The sequence below is a fragment of the Homo sapiens genome, chromosome 15 (assembly GCF_000001405.40).
Source record: "Homo sapiens chromosome 15, GRCh38.p14 Primary Assembly".
Lineage (NCBI taxonomy): Eukaryota > Metazoa > Chordata > Mammalia > Primates > Hominidae > Homo > Homo sapiens.
This window is the reverse complement of record NC_000015.10, coordinates 91,149,396-91,167,702: the sequence shown is the minus strand read 5'-3', so window position 1 is coordinate 91,167,702 and position 18,307 is coordinate 91,149,396. Positions and strand designations below refer to the sequence as shown.

General features: G+C 40.5%; 1 protein-coding gene across 12 annotated transcripts in view, besides 1 other annotated feature; it reads right to left on the bottom strand.

The window, feature by feature from the left end:
- The window catches only part of SV2B (synaptic vesicle glycoprotein 2B), a 202,978-nt gene that overhangs the window by 134,863 nt on the left and 49,808 nt on the right, over positions 1–18,307 (bottom strand). The gene's annotated exons all lie outside the window — the stretch shown is intronic.
- Positions 11,174–12,373: an enhancer, noted in NCBI's record as "MED14-independent group 3 enhancer chr15:91698560-91699759 (GRCh37/hg19 assembly coordinates)". NCBI's record gives its function as "activates an origin of replication core promoter dependent on BRD2, BRD4, P300/CBP and CDK7 cofactors, and independent of MED14, by STARR-seq in HCT116 cells {active_cell/tissue: HCT116}" and the evidence as "EXISTENCE:reporter gene assay evidence [ECO:0000049][PMID:35650434]".

Sequence of the window (18,307 nt, the reverse complement as noted above, 5' to 3'; positions counted from 1 at the left end):
AAGGGATTTTGCAAATGTAATGAAGTTAAGAGTGTTGAGATGGGCAGATTTCCTGGATTGTATAAGTGAGCCAAGTGTAATCACAGGGCCCTTCTATAAGAGCAGCAGGAGGATCAGAATCAGACAAAAAAGAGGTGTGAAGACAAAACCAAAGGTTGAAGTGATGTGTTTTGCAGATGGAGAAAGGGGCCACACAAAAGGAATGCAGGCACCTCTAAATATGGAAAAGACAAGAAATGTATTCTCTCTTAAAGTCTCCAGAAGACATGCAGGCCTGCCAACATCTTAATTTTATAATTCTGATCAAAATTATAAGAATAAATTTGCCTTAAACCAAGAGTTTGTGGTAATTTGTTACATCAGTAATGAGAAACTAATACACAATTTAAAATTACCCAAACCAAAAAACTGGGAAAATATAATTAGCTCTCAAGGGAAAAGACAGCAGATACCAATGCCAAAATGACCAGATGTTGAGATTATCAGACAAAGACCTTAAAAAAACTACTGTAACCATATTCCATAAAATAATGGTAAACACTCCTTAAATTAATTGAAAGAAATTCTCAGCACAGAAATAAAAACTATACGGCCGGGCGCGGTGGCTCACGCCTGTAATCCCAGCACTTTGGGAGGCCAAGGCAGGCGGATCACGAGGTCAGGAGATCAAGACCATCCTGGATAACACGGTGAAACCCCGTCTCTACTAAAAATACAAAAAAATAGCCGGGCATGGTGGCAGGCACCTGTAGTCCCAGCTACTTGGGAGGCTGAGGCAGGAGAATGGCGTGAACCCAGAAGGCGGAGCTTGCAGTGAGCTGAGATCGCACCACTGCACTCCAGCCTGGGCAACAGAGCAAGACTCCATCTCAAAAAAAAAAAAAGAAAAGAAAACAAAAGAAAAACTATACAAAAAAACTAAAAATTACAATAACTGAAATTATAAACTCCCTGTATGGATTCAACAGAGGAATAAACATGACTCAGGAAAGAGCTGATGAACTTGAAAATAGGTCAATTAAAAGTATCTAATCTGAATAATAGAGGATATAAAAATTGAGAAAAAAAGTCATACAGATTCGGGACCTATGGAACTATATCAAAAGTTCTAAAATTCATGCTATCAGGGTCTCTAAAGAGGAGGAGAAAAAGATAGGTGCTGAAAAAATTTTTTAACAATTTTAACAAATGAGTAAATACTCTTCAAATTTATTATAGGACATAAATTTACATATTCAAGAAGTTTAGTGAAACTCAAATAGGATAAACTCAAAGAAAACTATGACCAGACACATTATAATCAAACTGTGGAAAAACTAAGATATATATAATTATATTTAAAATATTTTTAAATTAACCATTATATGCAGTGTAATTACATATTGCATGGCAGTGTTTCTCAACCAGGTTGGTTTTGCCTCCCCAGAGACATCTGACAAGATCAGATGCTTCCAACTTTTTAATTTTTCTCACATTGGGAGTGGACTGCTATTGGTACCTAATATGCTAAGGATACTACTATACATCCTACAGGACACGAGCCTCACAACAAAGAATATCTAACCCAAAATGTCAATAATGCTGAAGTTAAAAACTGCTGATATTAAGGGAACAACAATTCAAATGACTGCAGATTTCTCACAAGAAATCATGGAAGCCAGAAAACAATGGAACCTTTTTAAGTGCTGAAAGAAAAGGATTGTCTACCCAGAATTCTATATTCAGTGAAAACATCCTTCAAGACTGAAGGCAAAATAAAGATATTTACAGATAAAGAAAAACAAAGAGAATTTGTTTTCAGCAGTTCTGATCTAAAAGAGACAACAAATGAAGTTATTCAAGTAGAAAGGAAATAACACTAGAAAAAACTTGGAAATGGTAATATCTGGATAAACATAATTGACTATTTTTCTCCTCGAATTCTTTAAAATATGTATGACTGTTGAAATTTGGAAGAAGTAGTGCTGTGACTTGGGCTATAAGCAGAAGAAAATGGAAGACAATGTAAGTCTATGAAGATAGATCACCTTCCTCCCTCAGGTCTGTCTCCTACAGTGATGTCAGAGACCTTAAGGGCTCAAATATAGTCATTCCTCAGAATTCATAGAGGATTAGTTCTAGGACACCCTCCGTGGATACCAAAATCCACAGATGCTCAAGTTCTTTATATTAAATGGTGTGATATTTGTATATAACCTATGCACAGCCTGCCATATACTTTAAATCATCTGCATTACTTATAATAACTAATACAATATAAGTGCTATGTAAATTGTTGTTATACTGTATTGTTTAGGGAGTAATGACAAGAAAAAAGCCTGTACACGTTCAATACTGATACAACCATCCTTTAAAAAAATAATTTTTTTTTGAGACAGAGTCTCGCTCTTGTCGCCCAGGCTAGAGTGCAATGATGCGATCTCGGCTCACTGCAACCTCTACCACCTGGGTTCAAGTGATTCTCTAGCCTTCCAGGTAGCTGGGATTACAGGGGCTCGCCACCACACCTGGCTAATTTTTGTATTTTTAGTAGAGATGGGGTTTCAACATATTGGCCAGGCTGGTCTCAAACTCCTGACCTCAGGTGATCCACCCACCTCTCTCTCCCAAAGTGTTGGGATTACAGGCAAGAGCCACCATGTCCAGCCTAAAAAAAATTTTTTGATCCACAGTTGCTTGAATCCACAGATGCAGACGCCAAAGATATGAAGGGCTGCTGTACTAAAAAACACAAACAGATAAACACCCATAATTTTGTAATGTTTAGAAAAGTGAAAACATAAGGAAAAGTACAAGTCCCCTCTGTCCTATCCAATCCCAATCACGGAAATAACCACTTTTAACAGCGTGCCCCTGAATGGTCTTGCATGGCTCTCCACTGTCCAGCCCCATACATATTAATGTCAGCATATCTATATGTGTGTAAACATACTCATCTATATAGAAATATAAAATGTTTTAATGGATTAATGCTCAATCTTTTGATCTATGAATAGCTTTTTCATTTGTGGTATATCATTATGGTAGGCAGAATTCTTATATAGTCTTCAATATCCCTAGACCCTAGTGTACCTATACTTTCTCCCACTTATTCAATCAAACATGAATCCAGATGTTAATGTAAAGAAATTCTGCAGATATAGTTAAGGTCCCAAATAAGTTCCACTAAAAATAGGGAGACAATTACATAAACTCTTTAAATTTGGGTGTAGAGGTCAGAGACAGAGGAATTCACAGATTCAAAGCATAAGAAGGATTTGACACAGTATTCTGGCTTAAAGGTAGAGGTAGACATGTGACAAGGAATACCACTGGCCTCAAGGAGCTGAAAGCAGTCCCGTAGCCTTGTAGTATAGTTTGAAGTCAGGTAGCATGATGCCTCCTGCTTTGTTCTTTTTGCTTAGCGTTGTCTTGGCAATGCGGGCTCTTTTTTGGTTCCACATAAACTTTAAAGTAGTTTTTTCCAGTTCTGCAAAGAAAGTCATTGGTAGCTTGATGGGGATGGCATTGAATCTATAAATTACCTTGGGCAGTATGGCCATTTTCACGATATTGATTCTACTAGTACCAAAACAGAGATATAGACCAATGAAACAGAACAGAGCCCTCAGAAATAATACCACACATCTACAACCATCTGATCTTTGACAAACCTGATAAAAACAAGAAATGGGGTAAGGATTCCCTATTTAATAAATGGTGCTGGGAAAACTGGCTAGCCATGTGTAGAAAGCTGAAACTGGATCCCTTCCTTACACCTCATACAAAAATTAATTCAAGATGGATTAAAGACTTAAATGTTAGACCTAAAACCATAAAAACCCTAGAAGAAAACCTAGGCAATACCATTCAGGACATAGGTATGGGCAAGGACTTCATGACTAAAACACCAAAAGCAATGGCAACAAAAGCCAAAATTGACTAATGGGATCTAATTAAACTAAAGAGCTTCTGCACAGCAAAAGAAACTACCATCAGAGTGAACAGGCAACCTTCAGAATGGGAGAAAATTTTCACAATCTACCCATCCGACAAGGGCTAATGTCCAGAATCTACAAAGAACTTAAACAAATTTACAAGAATAAATCAAACAACCCCATCAAAAAGTGGGCGAAGGATATGAACAGACACTTCTCAAAAGAAGACATTTACACAGCCAACAGACACATGAAAAAATGCTCATCATCACTGGCCATCAGAGAAATGCAAATCAAAACCACAATGAGATACCATCTCACACCAGTTAGAATGGCGATCATTAAAAAGTCAAGAAACAACAGGTACTGGAGAGGATGTGGAGAAATAGGAACACTTTTACACTGTTGGTGGGACTGTAAACTAGTTCAACCATTGTGGAAATCAGTGTGGCGATTCCTCAGGGATCTAGAACTAGAAATACCATTTGACCCAGCCATCCCACTACTGGGTACACACCCAAAGGGTTAAAAATCATGCTGCTATAAAGACACATGCACACGTATGTTTATTGAGCACTATTCACAATAGCAAAGACTTGGAAACAACCCAAAATGTCCATCAATGATAGAATGGATTAAGAAAATGTGGCACATATACACCATGGAATACTATGCAGCCATAAAAAAGGATGAGTTCATGTACTTTGTAGGGACACGGATGAAGCTGGAAACCATCATTCTGAGCAAATTATTGCAAGGACAGAAAACCAAACACCGCATGTTCTCACTCATAGGTGGGAATTGAACAATGAGAACACTTGGACACAGGGTGGGGAACATCACACACAGGAGCCTGTCGTGGGGTTGGGGGAGGGATAGCATTAGGAGATATACCTAATGTAAATGACGAGTTAATGGGTGCAGCACACAAACATGGCACATGTATACATATGTAACAAACCTGCACATTGTGCATATATACCGTAGAACTTAAAGTATAATAAAAACAAAACAAAACAAAAAAAGCAGTCCCTAGTTGACAACCAGCAATGAAACAGGAACTTCGGCCTCCAACCACAAGGAGCTGAATTCTGCCAACAAGAAGAATGAGATTGGAACCTGATTTTTCCCTCAGAGCTTCCAGATAAGAACTCAGTCCAACTGATGCTTTGACTTTAGCTTGGTGATGCCCTGAGCAGAGAATCCAGTCCACTTCCATGCCAGATGTCTGAGCTACAGAGACATAGGCTAATGATTAGGTGTTATCTTATGTTTCTAAACTTGTGGTAATTTGTTACACAAGAATAAAAAGCTAATACAATAATATACAGCTTTCCAAGCCAATGAAAATAAGTGTTCCTACTTCTTTTGCATAATATTACATTTTTTGCTATTATTTTGATGTAGCAAAATATATTCAAACATATTCCTCTTTATAGAAATTCATCTGGCTCCTACTTCTTGTTATTGTCAAACAACCCATCAACAAACATCTTTATGCAATTGCCTTACTGTATCTGTGGTATTTTCTGGAAGAAAGATTACTAGAAGAGGGATTATTTTACTAAAGACATACACATTTTTCTTTTTAATAGCTATTATTATCCAGTCAATCTCCAAAAAAAACTGAATTGATTTATACTCCTCTAAACAGACTGCTCATTTCCTCACACCTTCATAGCATGTATTATCAGATGTTAGAAACTGTGCCCAAAAAAAAGGTAATTCATTGTTTAAATCTTCATTTCTGCAGCTATCTAAGAAAATGTTTGCATTTTACTGTTCACTTGTATTGTCATCTGTGGATACCCTGACTAATTTGAGATTAGATTCTTTGCCTCCTGTCATTTTTATGAGGTTCTGCATAATGAAAAGATTCACTCTTTGTCTTTTATAAATGATGCAAATACTTTTGTGAGAGACACACAGAGTACTTTGAAGTATACACAGGGGACAAAGTAGACAGGGCTCAGGTGGTGGAAGACACTGAATACCAGATTAACACACTTGTTGTTTGTCCTATAGGCAGAGTGGAGAAAAAAGCATGGATCTTGATCTAGATTCTAGGTTCAAATCCTGGCTCTGCCACTTAGCGCTATGACCTGGTACAAGTTAATTAACCTTCCTATGCCTCAGTTCTCCCCTCCCTCCCTAAAACGGGGATGATAATGGCATCTGCATCCCAGTGTTGTTGTGAGAAATAAATGACTTAGAATGTGCAAAGAGCTTAGAACAGTGCCTAATACATTGTAAGCAGCAAAAAGCATTCATTTTATTTACTTGCATTACTATCACTTGCATTGTTACATTTTAAAATCTTTTACCATCAATTTTTAAAATTCTTATGTTGTCAAATATATATTTTTCTTAACGACCTGTTTTTCACAACTTGCTTAAGAAAATGTTTCAATATGCCACCCTAATATTTTATTGTATACTTTTCCTTTTTATTCAACATTTTTAATAGTTGATTAAGGTACAATTTACATACAAAAAAAATTCACCCATTTCAGTTTTATGGTTTGATACATTTCAGTAAATTTATACAGTTATACAATCATCACTATAAACCAGTTTTAGAACACTTGCATCACCCCCAAAATTTCCATCATGCCTGTTTGCAGTCACTTTCTGCTGTCTTTCCAGCCCCCAAGAAACCACCCATCTCCATATGTTTGGTGTTTTCTAGAAACTTTGTATAAATGGAATCATACAATATGTCATTTTTTGTGTTTAGCTTCTTTCATTTAGCGTATGTTTTGAGGTTAATCCGTGGGGCTGCACGCATCCGTGGTTCTGTTCTTTTTGTTGCTGAGCAGTGTTTCACTGTATGGATAAGCCACATTTTGTCTATTCACTCACCAGCTGACAGTCATTTAGATTATTTCCAGCTTTGGCTACTCTTTGATGATTAATGCATCTGAAATTTATTTTATTTATGAGGTTTGAGGTAGGGATCTATTTTTTTTTCTAAATGTGTATCAATCCTTTCATCACTATTTAATGAATAACAGTAACTCCACTGATTTTAATTAGTACTTTTATCACACATTAACTTTCTATTTATCCTTGGATCTATTTTGGGACTCCCTCTTGAAGTCCACCGATTATTTGTCTGTTTTCATCATAGTGGTTTTATGCTACGTTTTATTTTTATTTTATTTATTTGTTTACTTATGAGACAGAGTCTCATTCTGTCACCCAGGCTGGAGTGCAGTGGCATGATCTCAGCTCACTGTAACCTCTGTCTCCTGAGTTCAAGTGATTCTCATGCCTCAGCCTCCCCAGTAGCTGGGACTATAGGCATGCACCACCACGCTCAGCTAATTTTTGCATTTTTAGTAGAGATGGGGTTTCACTATGTTGGCTAGGCTGGTCTCAAACTCCTGGCCTCAAGTGATCTGCCTGCCTTGGTCTCCCAAGTGCTGAGATTACAGGCATGAGCCACTGCCCAACCTATGCTATATTTTAATATCTGGTACAGTAATTATCATTTCGTTATTCTTCTTTATCAAAATTTTCTCAGCCATTTCCACACATTTATTATCTGATATGAAATTTAAAATAAAATTGTCAGCTCCCCACCTTTCCAAAAAGATAACATTATGATTCTTATCAGAATTATATTAAATATTTTGGTTGGTTTTGGAGGGATTTTTATATTTATGATGTTAATCTTCCATCCAGGAACATGGCACGTCCTTTCATATATTACTTTGGGAACATTTAATCCTTCTGTAAAAGTTTAAAGTTTCCTTCATGTAGATATTACATTTCTTATAATTTATCCCTTGGTAATTTGTAGTTTTGTCAATTTTTATTTCATTTTATTTCCTAAATCATTTTTGAGAATGGAAAAGGGAAAATTATTTTTGTGTATTCATCTTTTTTCCAGACAAATTTTCTAATTAGTTATAATAATTTTTCACTTAGACACTTAGATTATCCAGATATAAGATGATGTAAGAAGCATACAGTGATAATTTTATTCTCTTTTCATATTTAAATCAGCTTTAAATTATTTATTTGACAAATAATAAGTGGATATATTTATAGTCAAATCATTTATTTTCATGGTCGTATTTAGTTGGAAACTTCAAAATTTTGTCAAATGATGCCATGATAACAAGTATTCATACCTTATTCAGAACTTGAATGGGAATGTCTTCTATCTTTCAATGTAATGCTTGCTATTGATTTCCAATGTTTCTTAATCCTCTCTATGAAGTATTCTTCTATTCTTATTTCACTTCATGTTTTTATCAAAAATCATTGCTGAATATTAGCAAATTCTCTTCTGTTATCTAGTGGCTTAGCTATATAATTTTTTCTCTAAATTGTTAATGCAATTATTTGGCTAGACAGATTTCCCAATGCTAAGCTACTGTGTGAAGCTTAAAATAACCCCTTTTGGGTAGAGCAGAGCTTCACTGTGTAGGTAATCTGACTATCCAGAGATTCACTTCCAACCCTATCTCCAAATACCTAGTAAATCATTTGTAAAAGACCGAACATTATATCCAAGAGCTAAGCATGGCTCTTCCGCTAAGCCCAGAAAGGAAGCCAAGCTGCAGGACAGAGAAGCTGAGGTGGTGGGGAGCTTGGCAAATCAGCATCAAGTCAAAATGCTAAAGTAGCTGAGCTCTCTAAAGCAAAGTAAGGCAGCAGCTCCTCAACATGCTCTTGGAGACTGATTTCTAGTGCTCTTGATGAAAAGGGCTACTTTTCATCTACTCAGCCTCATCACGCCCGGCCACCCTGTCTCCCAAGCCCAAACTGCCTTTAAGCAGCCTCATTTCATTCTTTCCTACATTAGCACAACCAGGACTGCCTACAACCTTATTAGAGTACCTTGAACTAAATTTGCAAAAGGGCAAACTGGTTAGAAAAGTTACCCCTCTAAGGAGACTCAGCTCCAACGATACACAGCCTAGAGATTGGGGGTAACATTGTGCAAAATTTTTTAGAAAGAAGGAAGAGAGGAAAGAACAAAGGGAGGGAGGAGACAGGGAGCAAGAGAGAGAGACAGTGAGGCAGAGAGAGAAAAAAGAGGAGAAGAGAGGAGAGGAGAGGAGAGGAGAGGAGAGAAGAGAAGAGAAGAGAAGAGAAGAGAAGAGAAGAGAAGAGAAGAGAAGAGAAGAGAAGAGAAGAGGGAAAATAAAAGAAAAGGCCACCCTTTCTCTAGGCCTTAATCAGCACCCCCTCCCCTACCCCACTAGCCCAACAAGACAGGCACTCTTGTCACTAACTACAAAGCCACATCATGTACACTGACTACAACAGCATCCTAACTGGTCACTCCGCTTCCTGGATTGTTCCCCTCTAATCCTTCGTTTGTGCTACTCCAAAGTGAGCTCTCTGCAAAACAAATAAATAAAACCACATATTGCCTCATTCATTCATTCAAGGGTCCCCCATCACCTTGTAATCCCCCTAGCCCAGATTAGAGAATAAAATTTGGATGACAAGAGTTAAGTAACTTGCCCAAAGTCACACATCTAGGAAGGGGAAGAACAAGTGCTGAAACCCATGTCTTGCCAGAGAGAGAACTTATTATTGAGACAACAGCACCAAGACACCCAACAAGGGCAGAGCCCTCTTGACCCAAACACCTCTCATTAGGCCCCATCTCCCAACACCATCACATTGGGAGTCAAATTTCAACATGAGCTTTGGTGAGGACCAACGAACCATATCCAAACCACAGCAACAGGTAAACAAACTGAGGACAAGAGAGGGAAGCCCATAGGCCCATGGACATACAGAGGTCAGAACAAAATGGGGACTCAACCAAATCCCCTGAATCCAAAACCAGTGCTCCCCACCTGCATTCCTGGAACCAGACAGACCTAGAAGGTCAGAGGGAACTCTCTAGGTGGAGCTAAGAAATCTCCTGGTCTGTGGGAGGCACACAGAGTATTTTGAAGTATACACAAAGGACAAAGTAGACAGGGCTCAGGTGGTGGAAGACACTGAATGCCAGACTAATACACTTGTTCTTTGTCCTATAGGCAGAGTGGAGAAAAAAGCACGGATCTTGATCTAGATTCTAGGTTCAAATCCTGGCTCTGCCACTTAGCACTATGACCTGGTACAAGTTAATTAACCTCCCTATGCCTCAGTTCTCCCCTCCCTCTCTAAAACAGGGATGATAATGGCATCTGCATCACAGTGTTGTTGTGAGAAATAAATGACTTAGAATGTGCAAAGAGCTTAAAACAGTGCCTAACATATTGTAAGCAGCAAAAGCATTTGTTTCATTATTTTTTATCGAGAGAGCATCACAAAGAAGGCTATGTTTTAAGATTGTTACTCTGGCCAAAATTATCCTACAGCCAGGAAGAAATGAGGGAAATGTTAACATTTCCTCTTGTGGGGGATGGGCAGGTAGAGAAGAGAAGGAAAAAGAGGAACAAAGCAGCTGGGTCTCCCATGGGGCTTTGAACCCATCCTTCTGTTGATCTAGGACACCTCCCTTGATTTCACACCTTTTTCTTGGAGCCTCACAGAGATTATCTAAGACAGAAACCATTCCTTCCCTGTGCATCCCAAGTGATTTGACTCCCAATCACTCCAGGACATGCTTCCCGGAAGGTTCTGCAGACTTTGACGAGTAGAAATGGGAAAAAGGTAAAAATCCTTCCCAAATCCTACTTTGCATTTCCAAGCTCAGCTTCCCCCTCTTTAACCTGCTCCCATGATTTCAGTGTTTGATACGCACAGGGCCTTAACCATTCCCTGACTGACTTAGTCTACAGCTGGGAGTCAAATGCAGCTATAGAGAGCCCTGGGCAGCAAGCAATGAGCTTGCGCCTACACATCTGTTTATCTGAGGCTTTACTTTCTGAATAAAGCATCTGTCCCGACACTTTACGTAAAAACAAAAATTGCAATTAGCAGCCCACAAAAAGGAGGTAGATTGTTCTCCATGTGGTTTATAAGCCAGAGAAGTTTATGCCTGAGAACAATGGGTTGCAAAGATACTGCACCCTGGAGGTTTTCCAGGAAGTGATCAAGGCAGGTGATATTGAGTTACTCTGGGGATTTTGGTTTTCACTCTAAATTGATAGAAAATGATTTGTCTGAGTTTGTTTTCAACTAGAGATTTCCAGAAAGGGATGAATGCTTGACCCTGTATGTATGTTTAAGCCAGGCCAATGGCCATGAAGGCTGGCAGCCTAGAGCTATTAGCATGGGTCTCTCCTGCGCAGCTTCCCATCACTAACCTGCTCCCAGGCTGCTGGACTTTCTCCCATTACCATACCCTTGGCTTCAGCTCCTGATTCCTACCTGCCATTTTGTTTAAGGCTAGAGCTTGATTTTTCTGAGCTTTCACGAATCTGGTGCTTAAAATGTTTTCGGTTGGCTGAGTCACACCTCTCCGACACTGGAATTCCCCAAATCTCTTATTAGCCTTTTTGAGGTGCACGTGTTCATCAAGTGGCCCTGCACAAGAGAACCCATCTCTCAGAAGTCCGTGGAGTCACACTGGGCCTCTTGTCCCACTCTAGGGAAGGAAGGAAAGAAGCCTATCTATACCCTTTCCTTACAATTTGGCACAGAGAATGCAAGCTTACTGAGGCATTTCTTTTCCTAAATGTCTACTTTTAAGTCCCTGGGTCTTGAAGTCAAGTCCCTATGAGACATTCATCCCCAAGCCCCAGCCTGGAGTGATCTGGAAGCTCCTCTGACACGAACATAAAACACTTTTCCATTCCTTGTTTCTGCTTGACCTTCTTGCTTCTCTCCAACCAAACCCCTCTGCCTGAAATTTATTTCTATATCAGCTCATCAGAATATCAATGTCTGGGCCCATGATTTCTTGGAAAGAGAGAATATGGTGTTGAGAGTCACGGTAAATGTAAGTCTACAGAGTGGCCACGTGGGTTTCAGGGACTCTTAAAATGCATGAGGTTCCACTGAGTCCAGACAACTATCTACCTTAACGGTCTGGAACAATGACCACCCACATAAGATCAAAAACCTGAGATCTGATCCTTCTAGTTTTGTCAAATGGCTCAGATTATTTTAAGCTTCCTCTTTAGATAAAATGCAGTTTGACTCACCAGTTTTTTTTCTTTTCATAAAGGCTACTGTGAGGGAGTAGGGCATCCTCCTGCAACAAGCAGCGGAGAGAGAAATCAGTCCCCAGCCCTGACCCTCGGATCTCTGGTAAAACACTCAGTCATGAGACACGAGACCTCTGGCCACATGCCCTGATCCATGGACTCAGACAGAAAGTCCTCTCCTGCATCTTGGGGTCCAGAAGAGGCCAGGAAGCAAAATCTATACAAGGAATGCTGGTTTCTTGCCCCAGGATCTAGGTAAACATTGAATAAAATTATTTAATCTGCCATTTAAGCAAGAAGTATTTCTAAAGCCACATGCTGGTGACCAGGCAGAGAAGATGGCTAAGCTGGGAAAGAACTGGTGTGTCAGTACCACGTCCATCTACAGTTAATACTCACTGGCATAGGATCCTGAAACACAAGTGGTCTGCTCTTGACTCTGCAGAAAAGGATTCCATTCCTTACACCTTCTTCCTCCCCTGCAGGTTACTCCTCCTACCTTAACCACGCCCTTCCCTTTCCCCATTTTGCTCCAGGGCTCCTGCCTTCTATTTTCTATGGCTTCTCTTGGATAGTGAAAGGTGGAGCTGGAAGGAGAGTTGTCCATGAGTGGGAAGAATCAGAGTCCCAGGGATGGGGCCAGAAGCGGTACTTTGGGATATTCAGGAGTTTGAGGAAAGGGACTCATCAATAACAAAAAATCAGTAATAGGCACAGAAAGGCAGAGACCTCAGTCCACTCGTTTACTGAGTCATCAGTAAACAAGTTTACTTGTTTACTCAGTCATCCTGCTCACAGGCACCTCCCCAAGGAACCATGCTCTTGGGTACTGCAAACCTGGGTGGCTTAAAACAACAGAAATTTCCTCTCTCACATTTCTGGACCCTAGAAGTCAAAATCAAGATGTCAGCAGGGCCATCTCCCTCCAAAGGAACAATCTTGCCTTGCCTCTTCCTGTGGACAGCCCATACCTTGCAGCTTCATTGCTCCAATCTCTACTTCTGTCATCACGTGGCCATCTTCCCTCTGTGTGTGTCTCTGTATTCAAATTTTCCTTTTCTTATAAGGACACCAGTCATTGGAATAGGGCCCACTCTAATCCACTATGACCTCAAATTAACTTGGTTACGTCTGCAAAAACCCCGTATCTAAATAAGGTCATATTCATCCCACAGCAGGAGGACATGGACAGACGCTGAGATCAATACCTGACGCTACACAGCCAAGTGGGGTCCAGGCTTCTGCCCATCCTGTGTCCCTCCCTGCTCCTTCCACAATCTGCCTGTCTAATATTCCATTTCTGTCACTTAATCTTAGTATCTCCTGGACCCCTGACCCTAAGCCTTCCTGGCCAACCATGTTTTTGTGCTACCATGTCTAGTGCCTGGCACTGCATCCGGCACATAGTAGGCCTACAAAAAGATGAATGCATGACATCCAAATAGTCTCTTTCCAGAGATGAGACCAGTGGCCCTAAACTGGTCTATAAAAAAGTATCTTTATATTACTTTATAATATAATTTTATAATATAATTTATATTTATAATCTATAATATAATTTTATAATATAAATTAATATCAAATATTAATATATTGATATAAAATAATTTATATTATAAATTAACATTTATACTATAAAATAATATAAAGAGACCCTTACAAAAGAGTCTCTTTACATTATTCTATAGTCTTTTTCCAGAGATGAGAACAGTGGCCCTATAACTGTCTCTTGGGAGCTAGGATTAGAGAAGCTGTGTCTCCCTTAGTTGGGATGTCCCCCCTCAGACCACAGGAGACTAGAGAAACCTCAGACACACCTCAGCATGGCCTGCCTACATTTGCAGAGAGGCTGTGTCTTGACTCTTGGCAGATGTTGTGTTACTGTCCCCTGCCCCTGCCCCTGCCCCTGCCCTCACATAATTCTTTGACCCTTGTCTCCAGCCTGACTTTACCACTTGACACAATAGGAACTGACCCTCAGCAGTCAGCTTGACTTCCCCCTCCTGGTCCATTTGGATGGACATCCTTTGTGACCCAGATGTGACCTCTAAAATCCACCCAGGCACCGGCCCTTGGCAGGTGCATGACACAAGCTTATCTCAGCATCAGAGCTCAGAGCTGTGGAAAACTGTCTATGACAGACATGGAGCTAACAGTTTTCCATGAATCAGCTTATTAAATCCTCAAAGCAATCATACGAGGTAATAACAACTACTATCCCCATGAGGGATGGGGAAATTGAGCCTTGGGGAAGCTAAATGCCTGCCCCAAGGTCACAGACCTAAAACGTGGTGGCACCTGATTCCATCCTGAGCCTGTGGCCGAGCAGCCAGAGCTCCCGAGATGCAATGCTAGTTTCCCAAGGGTGGGACACACAGTGACGCTGGCACCAGAGATGATGTGACGTGGTCCAATAGTGAATCCTGCTGCTATGGTTCGAATGTATTTGTCCCCCCAAAAGTCATACGTTGGAACTTAACCCCTAAGATGATAGTATTAAGAGGTGGAGGTGAAGTAAGTAAGTCACGAGGGCTCCACCTTGTGAATGGGATTAATGCTCTTCTAAAAGAGGCTTCAGAGAGCTGCCTGATCCCTCCATCTCCCCTGCCATATAAGGACAGAGCATTCATCCCTTTAGCCCTTCTGCATGTCAGGGCAGAGTTCACCATTTCCATCACATGAGAACCCAGCACCATCTTGGAAGGCACCAACTAGGAGGCAGAGATTCCCCCTCCAGACACGAATCTGCTGACACCATGATCATGGACTCCTCAGCCTCCAGAACTGTGAGAAATAGATTTCTATTGTTTGTAAATTGCCCGGTCTCAGGTATTTTGTTATGGCAGTACAAAATGGACTAAGATACATGGTATGAGTCTCCTCTTTTAACTCTTTTATCTATCTAATCATGGAGAAAGTCTTAGTTGGTGCTGTGGGATGAAAGGAAGCTCAGAAAGAAAACCTCTTTCCTTTCTGTTTCCTTTCTGACCTTTGCTAATATCTTCCTCACCCCACATTCCCTTTTTTAAAGGTAACACAAGCCAAACTTACACAATTTGACAAGCAATAGATGATAAAAAGAAGTGATACCAGGTATCATTTAATTTCTTTCCTATGGTTACTTTGAATATATGAAAGCAATACTGTTTTTCCTGTTATGGCAGTGATTAAAAGCTTTACTTTGTAATGCATCTATTTAAGGACAAGATGTAAATTCACTTCTTAAAAATTAAGTAAATAATAATACATGTTCCCTCATATGGAAAAAGATCAGGAAAGTGAAGCCCAAGAGACTCAAAGGTGGGAACAGTGCCCTGTGTTATGCCACCTCTCAAGGCTGGGAAATCCCAGCTGCGATATCAGCAAAGCTGGCAGCTCCCACCCAGCTCCTCCAAACACCATTAACCATGTGTGTTCATAGAGAATAGCTGTGAGTTCTCACAAGTTTTACAAAAATCTATTCACAAGTTCTGGAAAAAACAAAGAACATTGACTCATTCTCTCGCAAAGAGCCTCAACGATTTTTTTAAAGAGTAAAAACTGGGCAACCCGCTTGGGTCCCCTTCCACACTGTGGAAGCTTTGCTCTTTTGCTCTTTGCAATAAATCTTGCTGCTGCTCACTCTTTGGCAAAAAAAAAAAAAAAGAGTAAAAATTAACTCAGATTGACAAAATAAACATTTGTCCTGACATTCATCAGGCTGGGATAACAGACATAGATAAAGCTACTTGCAAAGTATACCAGGAAATGATATTTCTACCAAGGACACACCACACATAATAACCTTCTTTGAGTAACTACTGTTTTCTTGCATCCTGAAAAGCCTTGATATCTAAAATCAGTGACTATCAGAAACTTCACTGTTGGAAATTGTATGAGTAGGAATGAACCATCTCACTCTTGCCTGGAAGACCTAAGTCACTTTGACACAGAGAAGCAGCTTTGATTTCCAGCCCAGATACAAAGCTTCATATAAGGGGTTTCTGACGAAAACACTCACATTTACCTTAACCTTGTCATTTCCAAGGAAATGGGAGCCTGGGTTCAATTTACAGTCCAGACCCCTCTATACCCAGCACTGCTTTGCTTTTAAGCTTTATTTTCATTTTACCTAAATTTTAGCCTTCTTGAAAACTGTAGAATAATTCTATCTTTCCCTGTGTTTGGTGAGATGTCCAATGGCCCTTCAGGCATGCAGCCTCCATCATGAAAATGGATCAATAAATCTGACTTTCTTGGGCTGTAGATTGGTCCTTAGTGGTCTCAGGCTGATTAGGCTAAAGTGGTTTATATTTAACTTTTGTTATTCAGGCTTTTGGAGGTACTCTTTATCTTTCAAAATAAACAAGCAAATAAATCACAACAGGCTCCCTGGGGATATTATGACCAAATTATAAAGCTGCAGTTTAACTTTTCTATGGAAGCCACCTGGTAATTTGACTCAATTTTTCTGTGTAACCATTAATGACATGGTTTTTCTCTTCAGATGGTTGTGCTTTTGTTTTGTTTCAATGGGGAGTTTTGGCCCTGATCAGTTTTGTGAATAGACACACAGGCTTGAATGTGCACACATGTGCTTAACTGTTAGTCTTCCATCTCAGCACAGGGCAGAGCTCCACGCTCATGGTGAGGCAGCTCCATGGTCAAAGCCCACAGGCTCTCACCTAAATCATCTTGACTGAGGATCATCTGGATGAAAAGGAACCCATGCCCCCTCCCAGGCTACACGCGTAAGGGGGTTTCTTTCATCATAATCATATGAGTCTCCTAGGCAAGGGGAGGAAAGTCTAGCCCAGGAGCAGAGGGGTGGGGGTGCAGAATTCAAAACTCCTTCCCCATGGAGCCATCTGTTCTCTTGTCTCTGCTTCCTCACAAGCATCTGCCTGCTCTCTGCTCACTACAAGCTCCTCTGCACCCATATCTAAGGCTCAGACATGATTTTGTGGCATGATTTGCCACAGTATGACTATTTCAGTCTCTCAGAGCCTCAGAACTAAATTCCCAGGACAGAAAATATGATGGAATTCGTTTCCTTACAATTTGTGCCCACCCATCTGCTTATGGAAGCAGACACTGGGGCAGAAATATGGACAGCTGGTCCTCCTCCCAGCAGGAGCTAGGGATCAGGAGCAAGTCCAAAGAAGAAGAGGGGCATTCACAAACAAATCCAAGTGTGTATTAATTTTAATAACAGAAGGACAAAAGAGAGCCAAGTTTTATTTGCAACTTATGTTTTTCCAACACAGATATTAGCAGCTACCTGAAAGTTAATAATTCAGGAGGAAATATCAATACCTCAAGAATATGGTTCAGCCCAGCATGAGCTGACTTGATTGACTCAGGAATATGACACCAAACCCTACCAACAGCTGTATACACCTGACCAAAGAGTGATAGAGAGACAGACAGAAGCCGGGCGTGGTGGCTCACGTCTGTAATCCCAGCACTTTGGGAGGCCGAGGCAGGTGGATCACCTGAGGTCAGGAGTTCGAGACCAGCCTGGCCAACATGGCAAAACACCATCTCTTCTAAAAAAAATACAAAAAATTGGCTGGGCGTGGTGGTGGGCACCTGGATCCCAGCTGCTTGGGAGGCTGAGGCAGGAGAATCACTTGAACCTGGAAGGTGGAGGTTGCAGTAGCCAAGATCGCACCATTGCACTCCAGCCTGGGTGACAGAGTGAGACTCTGTCAAAAAATAAACAAATAAAGAGAGACAGACAGAAAGACAGAGACAGAAAGAGAGGATATCAGAGGGTCAGCGCTACATACTCCCATCAGAAGAACTTTCTGCCACTGGCCTGGACGTGAGTCAGCACAAGAAGTGGCATATAATTATACCATTATTAATTTCTATGACACATTTGAAAGGTCATCTTCTTGGGAGGGAACCAGCAAGTATCATGGAACAGGTACCAGTTTTATTGTCAGGCTTCCCTGGGTTCTATGCTGATGTTTGAAGCTGGATGACTTGGGCAAATCCTTCCCTGAGCCTCAGCTTTCTCACATGAGGACAACAGATAGCACCACCTTGGCCAAGGTTGAATTTGAAAGCTACATAAGACAATGGGATCTGCCCTCCCTTTAAGTGCCAAACCATGTCCAAGATGGAGAGACTAAGAGCGTGGCTCCCAGTGATTCAGGTTGTAAAGTCTACAGTTCAATTACTTCAGATTCTCCTCACAAGATCCTCATTCTTTCTTTGGTAGGTTGTGCCCACAGAAAATGTCCTAAGAACTCAAGTTTCTCTTCTGAGATAAAGTCCTACAGGTCAAAACATCTGAGACTTAGAATCAATCACCAGCTCTTAATTTTTTAAAAG